General features: G+C 38.7%; 1 annotated feature.

The window, feature by feature from the left end:
* Positions 5,425-5,654: an enhancer, noted in NCBI's record as "active region_22501". NCBI's record gives its function as "activates an Ori minimal core promoter by ATAC-STARR-seq in GM12878 lymphoblastoid cells {active_cell/tissue: GM12878}" and the evidence as "EXISTENCE:reporter gene assay evidence [ECO:0000049][PMID:35858748]".

The raw sequence follows: 14,560 nt of genomic DNA, 5'->3' as shown, positions 1-14,560 counted from the left end.
CTTTTCAGGAAGGATTCCTAATAATTGTTTCAGATTGCTGGCTTAAGGGAATATTTTCTATTTATTAAATGTTAAAGTGATAAATTATAATTTTTATTTTACTGTATACCTTTTAACTTTTAAGGAACAGTCTCATCCATAGCCACAGAAGGGATGAGATAATCCTATTATGCAATATAATGATAATAATAACTATTAATTATTGAGAGCTTACAGTGTTCCCCAAACTGTTCAATGTGCTTTACGTATGTTACCTTGTTTATTATTATTGTTATTGTTTCCTATCTGGTAGTATTATTTTATAATTTCATGGGTTTTCTAGCTTTCTCATATGGTCCACGCTTCCTGAAATTGGGATTCATTTATAGGTGCTCTGCCAAATACTGTATATGGTGACAAAGAGTGAAACAGCAGCAGAAGTTGAAGTGGAAGCTGACAGTGGCAGATCTAGCCTTGTGAGTAAGGTGACATATACTTTATTGCTCAAATCAGGATAGTTTCAACAATAAAGGGAGCTAACTGTGCAGTATGCTGGGACCAAGTGCATACACTGGGACTTCCTGGGCTGAACTATGACATGTGATCACTTTACTTAAAAAGGGGCAGAGTAGGCAGCTGCAGGCACCATGGCTTGGGCATAGGAAGGTCTGCCCTGGAATACGACTATCTCCAATTATAAGTTCGTCCCTAGAGAGATTTATGGTCTAGGTCTCTTAACCCATATGTTAAAACCTTGTATTCATTGGTCTTTTTAGTTGCACGATACTTTGTAATCTCCCCACCTTAAGGAAAAAGAGGAATTTTTGAGTCACTGGTAGAACCCAAGGAACATTGCCTTGCTTCAGGAACAGAGCCTTAGATGTTGTCACAGCCCTCTTTCTCCAGATTCTGTTCTCCTCTATGCTCCTGAGGATGCTGGCTCTTGCTGATTTGCAGATTGCTGCCTCTGCTTCTCCAGTTCAAAGGCGGGAAATGGCTGCTGACAGTTCATGAATCTTACATTTAACAGTTACAGCAGCCAAAGGGAAATGGCCTCAATTCATGCTGCTTCATGTCCAGAGGTCCTCAAATTGATGAGTTTGGTTTAGTGTACATCCTACATTGCTCAGCTGTGACCAGGGGTAAACTTATGGAAGGACATGGTGGCTTCCTTGGTAATCATATCATTGAACTTGAGGGAAGGGGAAGTTCTGATATTTTGTATTGTGCCCAGAGGCAGAAGTATACTGTGGAGACAAAATAATAATAGATGTCCACTACATAGCCTCTCAGCTGTAGCTGAGAGTTGCCACAGCTAAAAAGAAGCTATGTGGTAAAGTTTTGATAGAGAATGTCCCATGGGCAGACTGGATAATTTTTGAGGTGATTTCCTACAATATGTTCTAAAGTGAATATTTTATTTCTCCATAACAGGTAGAATATGATTCTGAAAAAAAGGATTATAGGAGAGACTTGGTCTAGCAGGAGAGCATGGGATTATTTGGTTTGGCAGGATATGGGGATACACAAGTCAAACTATCCGTCATTAACCAGCCATGGTAACTAGGATACTCCTATCTCTAAGCTCCCTTTTCTGATATTAAAGCAGCTATCTTTCCTTGAACTCTTAAATATCTCTCCCTCATGATACCTTAATAGACTTCTTTTTAAAAGGAGGAATAGTCTTCTTGGGTATGCTATGTGATCGCTTCTTCATTTTTGGATCAACTAAAAATAATTATTACAGTTGTCATTTATGGAACACTTATCAGTTGCTATCCATGACACATTATTCCATATAATCCTCAAATCAGCCTTTTCCCTGTTCCTTATTTCCCTGTTTCATTCTTTTCAGATGAGGAAACGATGAAGGTTAAAGTTTCGCTCAAAGTCCCATAGATAGTACACGTGAGAGCTGGGATTAGAACCCAGGTCAGAGTGAGCCCAATAAAGAAAGTCCTCTTTACATTCTGCCACATAGCGACAAGCAGAACATAATCTATGAGTTATGAGGGAAATTCAGAAATAGGAACTAAGTGAGACCTAAGTGGGTATTAATAACAGGAGGCAAAAATCATACAATAAAATTTAGAGATACCCTAATTTTAAACATTGGTTTGTAATTTTGTTCTATTCCTATTTGCTGAAAAATCAGTAATCTAGGACCTAGAATATTTGCTCTTCTGAAAGTTTTATTAGAACATTGAGCAAACAGGTACTAGTTGAAATTCAATTTACTCAACATTATGAAGCACCTGCTGTGTGCTGTGCCGGTATATGAAGCTAGGTAAGCAGTGTCAATTTTTATAAACACCTCCCAGGCATATAGAAGTGAAGGCTGTTATAGGAGGGAGGGGCCTTAGAAACTGCATGGCTTGTTGGTGGTCACTCTGTGTGCTGTAGAACCTTTGGGTTCTGCCAAGGTGGCCATTTTGGGTACAAGGAAGAAATGGAGGAAACCAAAGGGGAGACTGAATACCAGAATACTGTTTCTATCCTGCCCTCTTCAACCAGGATGGCTCCAAACTTTTATTTATTAGCCATGCCGAGGTGTCGTTATTTTACAGAGGAAGACACTCAGGGGCAGTGTGTGTCTGGGGTCGATGACATGGTGAGCTAAGTAGTCACAAAAATTGTATACTTTCATTTGCCATACTAACGAGACACACAGTACTTTTCATGCTCCTCCTACTCTTCTTAGGAGTGAGTTTAGATTTTATTGTATTTTGGAGATCCTCAGCCATATGAGTCACATTGTCCTCAGATGTCCATGTTACAGATATAGACTAATGGCAAATATGGTGACTTTGGGACTATTAAAAAAATTGCGATCATCCAGGGTGATGTAAATTGCTTTCACCTTTATTGATTTTGTTGCCAGGTCTTAACAAACTCCTTTGGGTTTGTAATAACCCGAAGCTTTAACTTTACAGTAAAGAAATTTCATGGTTACACCCTTAGCAATGGGTTAAGAATTATCACATTCTCTCAACTCTGTGTCCTTTCATCCAACATTCTGACAAAGAGGAAAAGATTCTGGGTTAGGGAAAATCACTCTATTAATTCTAGCTATTTATACTCTAATACCGTAATTTTGTAATCTTTCTTGGACACAAGATCTTTCTTGTATTTAAAGAAAAGATAAATTTCATTTTTTTTTTTAGCATTCCAACTCATTCTGCTCTTGTCTGTTAAGATGATAGGAAGACATGGAGACTCAAGTAATTCCTAGCAAGTCAAAGACTAGAACTAGTTAGCCATTAATTATAAAAACTATTTTAGATTATTGACTGGAATGACTGAAATTTAATCTAGTTGAACTTCAGAGCCCAAAATATGGACTTTTCTGCCCTTGGACACAGGGACAGAGGCAGACTGGGACTTTAAGATTGGGAGGCCTCTGCTGATGTGGAGGAGAGAAGGGAAGCGACTAAATTCAATTAGGGACTAGTAGGAGCAAATCAAATCTGCAGCTGGAAGAGATCATCCAGCAGCTGCAGCTAGATCATCATAGTGACTGTAACCCAGACAAGAAAAACAGAACGTGGGAGGCCATCTGCTTGCAATTTCCTTATGCCAGTATTAAAACAATGTTAAGGCTTACTGACTTTTTTTTAATGAAGAGAAAAAAGTTTACCAAAGATGAATGATGAATTTTTTTTGTAAAAACAAAAAAAGTAAAAATGACTTCCATTGATAAAAATCCCAATTTCTAGATATTTAGATCATTTCTTTTTGTAAAAAAAGTTTGCTATGAAAAACAATACCGTGACAAGAATTCCTTTTCCTTATTTCTTATTGGGCACATCCCAAATTTTCTCTTAAGATAAAACCCTAGGATTTAAATTTCTAGAGTGAAGGGTGCATGTATAATTAAGGTTTTAAAATATGTAATCAACATATTTTACAAGCTGTTGCATTTTTCTATGAATTTCCTACCATTTGTTTGGAATTTACAGAAATAAAGGATACACTGTTGTTCCAGAGACTCGTGAAGTTAGATGGAACTCTCAGGGGCCAAATGGATAATTTCTACTGTGTTAGGTTTTCTGAACGTTGTCTCCTTGCCAGTTCCATAACCTCTTCTAACGTCAATACTCAGCCTCCGGTCTGCTGCTGTTTCTGCTTTGTTAATACCGGAGGCCACAGCTAAATGAACCATTGGGACGATCACATTCTCTCTTTTAAGAATTTAAACTAAGAAGCTTTAAGTCTAAGACACTTAGAGTATGATGCTAGACACACTTCCAGATATGGGAACTCTAATATCTTATAGAGTTGAGGCCAAGAAGGGTCATGTGGCAAACTATGATAAGTGGAAGTAGAAAACCCTTCTATGGGGGAAGCCATAAAGAAAGAAGCAGACACTGAAAATCAGGGACTATGTAGCCCTAGGGAAAATGTAAATGGTACAGTCCCTGTGAGTCCCATCGCTAGATTCTGTAGTGTGTCCTATGGGACCTTCTTGTGCCTTCTGAAGATCTGTGTTGATCTCCATCCAAGACTCTTGACTCCAGGTTAAATTACAAAGCTTTTACTTCAGGAATATCAGTCATTTGTATGGTAGATCTTAGGAAACACAGGGGTCCATAGGCCTTCAAAAACAGAGAACCATATTTTCTGAAATATAAATTAGGTCATATCTGACAAAAGATTACTTCCCATTTTGGTGCATTTACATGAAACATTACCACACTAGAATCATTGCCCTCAGGCCTGCTCTTAACTGCTTGGACATATGGGCTTTCATTCCCCTCGAGTTTGCTTTGATTTATCTAGTATAATGGTTCTCCAACTTTAGAGCGCATTAGAATTACCTGGGGGCTTGTTACAACAGAGTGCTGGGCCCCATCCTAAGAGTTTCTGATTCAGTAGTTCTGGGATATGGTCAGACCATTTCTGTTTCCAACAAGTTCTCAGGTGATGCTGACACATCTAGCCTTGGGACCACACTTTGAGAACCACCGAACTATTGAGTATGTGAGAATGTCTCTTAGAGAAGAAAATGATGTAATTTCTAATATTTTTACTATTCACTCTTGGGAAGACCTTCTTAGCATTAACTTTTTCCTGTATCCTCTTCTCCCTTCTGCTTCTCTGCATCCCCCAGCCTCCACCCTTTGTAAATCTTTTCTCTCAGCTGCCACGTTCCACCATGGCACTTCCCACACAGCTTGGCAATTGTTGCCTGCCCAATTAACTGTTAGCATCCTGAAGGCAGGGACTTGTATGTTTTATCTGTGTATCCTCACTGACTAGCACCATACCTGGACATGGCAGGAATAAGATACAAATGTGCTGAGTGAAAGAAGGAATGAATGAAAATTCCTTTCTTTTCTTACTGATTCTTAAGGTCCCTGAAAAAGTCCATCTCTGGTGGACTTGATTCTTTCCGTTCTCCCTCGTAAAACTGGGATGCTGTTGCATATCTTTCTTGACCTATGTTCTTAGGATATAGGTAGCTCATCAGATGGATTACAGTAGGGCAAGGGAGAGGAGGTGTGTGCATGCACATGCAGATGTGCGTGCCTTGTTTTCCTTTCCTTATATTATCTCCTTGGTGTTCATCATGTGTAACAACAGCTGTGCAAGTAGGTGGAGATGTCAGGAATCTCTGGCACATCACATATCTCCTGAAGAATGTCCAGTTCATACAGAGTTTTATTTTACTCTGTGGCTTACAGCTCTTGGCTCCGCTTGAGTAGCAATGCATAACCCACAAAAGTAGATTGTCATTCATTTATGTAATTTCTCATGACTTAAAGGCCTCTTGATATAGCACAAATAAGCATTAGACTAGGAATTAGCAATCTAGGATTCTAGTCTTAGCTTAAGCTCTAATTAGCTGTGTGCCCTTAGCCAAGTCTCTTAATTTGATTGTATGAAGAAGGCTTTAATTCAAATGACTTATGTACTGTGCTCAAATCTTAACACTCTCAGCATCTGTGAAGCTAAGAGGAATATGTTCTCAAGAGTGTGACATGGTTTAGGTGTATGTTTGTTTTCATGCTAAGGTCTGACTCATGTCCTTCTAGGAGGTAGTGAGGTCATTTGCTGAAGACATTCAAAGGACTGCAAATAATGATGTGTAGCAGCAGCCTGTCCTGTGCCTTTGGATACTTTAGAAATAAATGAAAAAAGAAGATTTAAAGAGAAGGGGCCAGTCAGAAGAGATCTTTTGCATCTGTTCCCATGAAGAAGGAAGGGAGCCCTTGTCCCTGTCTGAGTCCTTAAAAGAGACCTTTTTTTTTTTTTGAGTCAGAGGAACCAGACACATCAAAACATTCTCTTCTTTGAATATTTATTTGTGTGTTGTTCTATATCTTGTCCTATGGAACTTCCTGAGGAAAGTGATTGTATGGTTGACTCCTGAAGAAGACAACGTGATCTTAGAAACATGCTCTCTAGAATCCAAAGAGAGTCCAGATTTAAAGTATCTGCATGGTCACTTGCTAACATCTTCCAAGTGTCCAGCTGTTATTATTACATTATGTTTGTGTTTGAATCTTGGGAAATATAGTTTACAACAATGTCACAATGGCAGAAGAGTTGATAAAAATGTTTTTTTCTACATATTTGACTTGTTAAAGAAAAACAATTTAGGGGAAGTGATGGGGAGGGTGGAGAAACATATTTTCATGGTGATGAAGCCGCAGCAAATTTCCAGAGGAAGACAAGCTGTCATGTTCTTGACCTTTTGAAATTCTCCATGAAGTTTAATTCTCCATCAGTTTCTAATTCATAAATATTAGTTCTGATAAAAAAATTGGAGTGGTATATCCTAAGTGCTTCATGTGAGCTGTTTTGAAGTCGATTCTTAAGCAAACTACTTGGTGCAGAGTGTAGTCTGAGATACTAACTAACTTTCATTTCCAGTTTTCTGATAGTCTTTACTTATAAATACCCAACAGAAACAAAAACCAAAATCCTCAACTCAGCTGGATTGAATGTTTGGCTGATTTATGCCTTGTTTGAATAATATTTCAATCTGGCACTCACTGGGATACTCAGGGAACCTTAACATTTTTTTTTTTTTTGAGACAGGGTCTCACTCTGTCTCTGTCACCCAGGCTGGAACTCTTGGACTCCTGCTATAGCCTCCCAAGTAGCTTGGAAGCTGGGATTAACAAGCATGTGCTACCACACCTGGCTAATATTATATATATATACATTTTTTTTTAATGGAGACAGAGTCTCTCTATGTTTCCCAAGCTTGTCTTGAACTCCTGGGCTCAAGTCATCCTCCTGCCTCAGCACCTCAAAACATTGGAATTACAAGCGTGAGACACCATGCTCAGTCCTTAACATCTTTCAAGGGATGTGATTCTTTGTGGCAGTAGAAAGGTGCTTTTGAATTCCTGGATCCTCTTTTAAACACTATCAAATTAGAATATACTTTCAGAAAAGTAAAAATATCATCACTTAAAATCAATAAACTTTTAGCTACTGAACACATCTGTGTCACCAGCACTTAGATCAAGAAGAAGAACATTACCGGCACCACATAAGCCCCCTCACAATCTATTCTGGCTCCTCATTCCTCTCTCCACTGAGGGTAATCATGACATTGACTTCTAACAGCATAGGGTGCTTTGGTACTTTGGCTCATGTTTTGGTCATATAACTTACATCATACATTATGTACTCTTTTGTTTCTAGCTTCTTTCACTCAACATTATGTTAATGAGAGCCATCATACTGCATGTGGTTGCTGTTAACATTCATTCTCATTTGTGTATAATGTGTAAATATACATTATTTATCAATTTTACTCTTGATGGAATTTGGGTATTTCTGGCTATTAGAAATGGTGCTTCTATGAGCATGCTAGGACATGTCTAGGTGAATAGATGTATTTATCTGAGTCAAGTGTGCAGATAAAAGTGGAATTGTTGGGTCATAAAATATGTATAAGCTCGGTATCAGAAGATACTGCCAGCTTCCTCAAGTGGTTGTACTCATTTTACTGTCTCATCCATGAGTTCTTTTGATTGGTACACAAAAAGTGCAAAGGAGAAAGAATGCTGAATAAAGGGCTCTGACATTGAAGCCAGATTGCTACAAAGGGTTGAATCCTGATGAATGCATCTTTTATCCTCAACACTGATCTTTTCCGAGCTCTTTTTAAATGAAACCCTAAATTGCTATGTCTCTCTTGTTCAACTAAAGGTGACTTAGATTTGCCATTCTGAAATTCCCTTATAAGATCTGAGATGGTTTAAAGTAATTTTTTAAACTGTCTATATTAAAAAAGAATTTCAAAAATTTCTGTCTAAATGAGAATATTCTTCTCTGACTAGTGTCAAGAAAATGTTAAGTGAGTGAAACTCATTTTTTCTTAATGGTCTTTATTTAATTTGTTACCAGCTTTAACTAAAGCAAGAAAGACAAAGATGGGAAAATGTTGGAATAGTCCTTATTTTTAAAAAAGTATTTTTCAATGGGTAACAATTATAAAAACATATTGATGTACCTGCCTGAGAATATCCTGAGAAAATATAATGAATTTGAATACTTTCTCACTACAAGTAAATTGATTACAAGAAAAGACACCCATTCGATTTTCTTTGGACAGCTTTCTTTGAAAGACCTAAGCATTCCAAATTACCCAAATAAATATTTCTAAATCCTTAGGATATAAATATGATTGTTGTTAATGAGCAATTTACTGTTTGTTATAGCCTACATATTAATTTTAGGTAAAATATCATAGTGTAGTCTTATGTGCTATATATGCTTCAGTCCCTTAGGTAGCTACAATTGCAGTATTTGATATTTCTTATTTGTCTTGAGGGATAATTTTATTATATCTAGGAGTCCTAGGGTATATATTCACAGCTTTATTTTTTCACCTGTTACTGTGGGCATGCCTGTAATTTATTTTGTACAAGTTTCTTACTTAAGAATACAATATGTAATTAAACATGTCTTCCTTGGAAAAATAAATCACATAGATTGCAGAAATGTATTATGAGTGAAAATGGTCTCTCTCTGAGTATGTGTTGTGTAATAGAACTCTGCAAACACACACATTCACACAAAAGTCAAGCCTTACTGTGTGAAGTAGGGAAAGGTTTTTAAGAAAAATTGTATGTTGATGGTTGCTTCCAAGATGGCCGAATAGGAACAGCTCCGGTCTGCAGCTCCCAGTGAGATTGACGCAGAAGATGGGTGATTTCTGCATTTCCAACTGAGGTACCTGGTTCATCTCATTGGGCTGGTTGGACAGTGGGTGCAGCCCATGGAGGGTGAGCAGAAGCAGGGTGGGACGTTGCCTCACCAGGGGAGTGCAAGGGGTCAGGGGAGTTCCCTTTCCTAGCCAAGGGAAGCCATGACAGATGGTAACTGGAGAAACAGTACACTCCTGACCAAATACTGTGCTATTCCCACGGACTTAGCAAGCAGCCAACTAGGAGATACCCTCCCGTGCCTGGCTCGGTGGGTCCCATGCCCACGGAGCCTTGTTCACCACTAGCACAGCAGTCTGAGATAGACCTGGGATGCTGCAGCTAGTTGGGGGGAGGGGTGTCCGTCATTGCTGAGGCTTGAGTAGCTCACAGTGTAAATAAAGAGGCTTGGAAGCATGAACTGGGCAGAGCCCACCACAGATCAGCCTCTATAGATTCCACCTCTGGGGCAAGGCATAGTAGAACAAAAGGCAACAGACAGCTTCTGCAGAATTAAACGTCCCTGTCTGACAGCTCTGAAGAGAGCAGTGGTTCTCTCAGCACAGCGTTCAAGCTCCAAGAACAGATAGACTGCCTTGTCAAGCAGGTCCCTGACCCCTGTGTAGCCTGACTGGGAAACACCTCCCAATAGGGGCTGACAGACATCTCACACAGGTGGGTGCCACTCTGGGATGAATCTTCCAGAGGAAGGATCAGGCAGCAATATTTGCTGTTCTGCAGCCTCCCCTGGTGATACCCAGGCAAACAGGGTCTGGAGTGGACCTCCAGCAAACTCCAACAGCCCTGAAGCTGAGGGGTCTGACTGTTAGAAGGAAAACTAACAAACAGAAAAGAGTAGCATCAACATCAACAAAAAGGACATCCACACCAAAACTCCACACATAGGTCACCAACATCAAAGACCAAAGGTAGATAAAACCACAAAGATGGGGAGAAACCAGAGCAGAAAACCTGAGAATTCCAAAAAACAAATTGGCTCTTCTCCTCCAAAAGATCGCTGCTCCTTGCCAGCAAGGGAACAAAACTGGATGGAGAATGACTTTGACGAGTTGACAGAAGTAAGCTTCAGAAGACTGCTAATAACAAACTTCTCCGAGCTAAAGGAGCATGTTCGAACCCATCACAAGGAATCTAAAAACCTCGAAAAGGCTAGACGAATGGCTAACTAGAATAAACAGTGTAAAGAACACCTTAAATGACCTGAGGGAGCTGAAAACCATGGCACGAGATTTCTGTGACACATGCAAAAGCTTCAATCAAGTGGAAGAAAGGATATCAGTGATTGAAGATCATATTAATGAAATAAAGTGAGGAGACAAGATTAGAGAAAAAAGAGTGAAAAGAAATGAACAAAGCCTCCAAGAAATATGGGACTGTGTGAAAAGACCAAGTATACATTTGATTGGTGTACTGGAAAGTGACGGGGAGAATGGAACCAAGTTAGAAAACACTATTCAGGATATTATCCAGGAGAACTTCCCTAACCAGCAAGGCAGGCCAACATTCAAATTCAGGAAATACAGAGAACAGCACAAAGATACTTCTAGAGAAGAGCAACCCCAAGACACATAATTGTCACATTTACCAAGGTTGAAATGAGGAAAAAATGTTAAGGGCAGCCAGAGAGAAAGGTTGGGTTACCCACAAAGGGAAGCCCATCAGACTAACAGCGGATCTTTCAGCAGAAACCCTACAAGCCAGAAGAGAGTGGGGGCCAATATTCAACATTCTTAAGGAAAAGAATTTTCAACCCAGAATCTCATATCCAGCCAAACTAAGCTTCATAAATGAAGGAGAAATAAAATCCTTTACAGACAAATGCTGAGAGATTTTGTCACCACCAGGCCTGCCTTACAAGAGCTCCTGCAGGAAGCACTAAACATGGAAAGGAACGACTGGTATCAGCCACTGCAAAAACATGCCAAATGGTAAAGACCATCGATGCTATGAAGAAACTGCATCAATTAAGGGACAAAATAACCTGCTAGCATCAAATGACAGTATCAAATTCAAATGTAACAATATTAACCTTAAATGTAAATGGGCTAAATGCCCCAATTAAAAGACACAGACTGGCAAATTGGATAGTCAAGACCCATCAGTGTGCTGTATTCAGGAGACCCATCTCATGTGCAAAGATGCACATAGGCTCAAAATAAAGGGATGAAGGAAGAAACCAAGCAAATGAAAAGCAAAAAAAAAAAAAAAAAAAAAAAAAAAAAAAAGAGCAGGGATTGCAATCCCAGTCTCTGATAAAACAGACTTTAAACCAACAAAGATCAAAAGAGACAAAAAAGGCCACTACGTAATGGTAAAGGGATCAATTCAACAAGAAGAGCTAACTATCCTAAAAATATATACACCTAATACTGGAGCACCCAGCTTCATAAAGCAAGTCCTTAGAGACCTACAAAGAGACTTAGACTCCCACACAATAATAATGGGAGACTTTAACACCCCACTGTCAATATTAGACAGATCAATGAGATAGAAGGTTAACAAGGATATCCAGGACTTGAACTCAGCTCTGGACCAAGCAGACCTAATAGATATCTACAGAACCCTACACCCCACATCAACAGAATATACATACTTCACAGCACCACATCACACTTATTCTAAAATTGACCACATAATTGGTAGTAAAACACTCCTCAGCAAATGTAAAAGAACAGGAATCACAACAAACAGTCTCTGAGACCACAGTGCAGTCAAATTAGAACTCAGGATTAATAAGCTCACTAAAAACTGCACAACTACATGGAAACTGAGCAACCTGCTCCTGAATGACTACTGGTAAATAACAAAATGAAGTCAGAAGTAAAGATGTTCTTTGAAACCAATGAGAAAAAAGTCACAATGTACCAGAATTTCTGGGGCACATTTAAAGCAGTGTGTAGAGGGAAATTTATAGCACTAAATGCCCACAAGAAAAAGCAGGAAAGATCTAAAATTGACACTCTAACATCACAATGAAAAGAACTAAAGAAGTAAGAGCAAACACATTCAAAAGCTAGCAGAAGGCAAGAAATAATTAAGATCAGAGCAGAACTGAAAGAGATAGATACACAAAGAACCCTTCAAAAAATCAATGAATCCAGGAGCTGGTTTTTGAAAAGATCAACAAAATTGATAGACTGCTAGCAAGACTAATAAAGAAGAAAAGAGAGAAGAATCTAATAGATGCAATAAAAAATGAAAAAGAGGCTATCACCACTGATCCCACAGAAATAGAAACTAGCAATACAGAATACTATAAACACCTCTATGCAAATAAACTAGAAAATCTAGAAGAAATGGATAAATTTTTGGACACATACACCCTCCCAAGACTAAACCAGGAAGAAGTTGAATCTCTGAATAGACAAATAACAGGTTCTGAAATTGAGGCAATAATTAATAGCCTACCAACCAGAAAAAGTCCAGGACCAGATGGATTAACAGCTGAATTCTACCAGAGGTACACAGAGGAGCTGGTACTATTCCTTCTGAAACTATTCCAAACAATAGAAAAAGAGGGAATCCTCCCTAACTCCTTTTATGTGGCCAGCATCATCCTGATACCAAAGCCTGCTAGAGACCCAACAAAAAAAGAGAATTTTAGGCCAATATCCCTGATGAACATTGATGTAAAAATCCTCAATAAAATACTGGCAAACCAAATCCAGCAGCACATCAAAAAGCTTATCCACCATGATCAAGTCAGCTTCATCCCTGGGATGCAAGGCTGGTTCAACATACGAAAATCCATAAACGCAATCCATCACATAAACAGAACCAAAGACAAAAACCACATGATTATTTCAATAGATGCAGAAAAGACCTTCGACAAAATTCAACAGCCCTTCATGCTAAAAACTCTCAATAAACTAGGTATTGATGGAACACATCTCAAAATAATAAGAGCTATTTATGACAAACCCACAGCCAATATCATACTGAATGGGCAAAAACTGGAAGCATTCCCTTTGAAAACTGGAACAAGACAGGAATGACCTCTCTCACCACTCCTATTCAACATAGTGTGGGAAGTTCTGGCTAGGGCAATCAGGAAAGAGAAAGAAATAAAGGGTATTCAACTAGGAAAAGAGGAAGTCAAATTGTGTCTGTTTGCAGATGACATGATTGTATATTTAGAAAACCCCATCATCTCAGCCCACAATCTCCTTAAGCTTATAAGCAACTTCAGCAAAGTCTCAGGATACAAAATCAATGTGCAAAAATCACAAGCATTCCTATACACCAATAACAAACAGAGAGCCAAATCATGAGTGAACTCCCATTCACAATTGTTACAAAGAGAATAAAATACCTAGGAATCCAACTTACAAGGGATGTGAAGGACCTCTTCAAGGAGAACTACAAACCACTGCTCAAGGAAATAAAAGAGGATACAAACAAATGGAAGAATATGCCATGCTCATGGATAGGAAGAATCAATATCGTGAAAATGGCCATACTGCCCAAAGTAATTTATAGATTCAATGCCATCCCCATCAAGCTACCAATGACTTTCTTCACAGAATTGGAGAAAACTACTTTAAAGTTCATATGGAACCAAAAAAGAGCCCACATTTCCAAGACAACCCTAAGCCAAAAGAACAAAGCTGGAGGCATCACGCTACCTGATTTCAAACTATACTTCAAGGCTACAGTGACAAAAGCAACATGGTACTGGTACCAAAACAGATACATAGACCAATGGAGCAGAACAGAGGCCTCAGAAATAACTCCACACATCTACAACCATCTGATCTTTGACAAACCTCACAAAAACAAGAAATGGGGAAAGGATTCCCTATTTAATAAATGATGCTGGGAAAACTGGCTAGCCATATGTAGAAATCTGAAACTGGATCCCTTCCTTTCATCTTATTCAAAAATTAATTCAAGATGGATTAAAGACTGAAATGTTGGACTTAAAATCATAAAAACCCTAGAAGAAAACCTAGGCAATAGCATTCAGGACATAGGCATAGGCAAGGACATGATGACTAAAACACCAAAAGCAATGGCAACAAAAGCCAAAATTGACAAATGGGATCTAATTAAACTAAAGCGCTTCTGCACAGCAAAAGAAACTACCATCAGAGTGAACAGGCAACCTACAGAGTGGGAGAAAATTTTTGCAATCTACCCATCTGACAAAGGGCTAATATCCAGAATCTAGAAAGAACTCAAACAAATTTACAAGAAAAAAACAAACAACCCCATCAAAAAGTGGGCGAAGGATATGAACAGACACTTCTCAAAAGAAGACACTTATGCAGCCAACAGACACATGAAAAAATGCTCATCATCACTGGTCATCAGAGAAATGCAAATCAAAACCACAATGAGATACCATCTCATGCCAGTTAGAATGGCGATTATTAAAAAGTCAGGAAACAACA

The sequence above is a fragment of the Homo sapiens genome, chromosome 5 (assembly GCF_000001405.40).
Source record: "Homo sapiens chromosome 5, GRCh38.p14 Primary Assembly".
NCBI lineage: Eukaryota > Metazoa > Chordata > Mammalia > Primates > Hominidae > Homo > Homo sapiens.
Note: the sequence above shows the minus strand (reverse complement) of the source record. Positions and strands in the feature narration are given on the sequence as shown.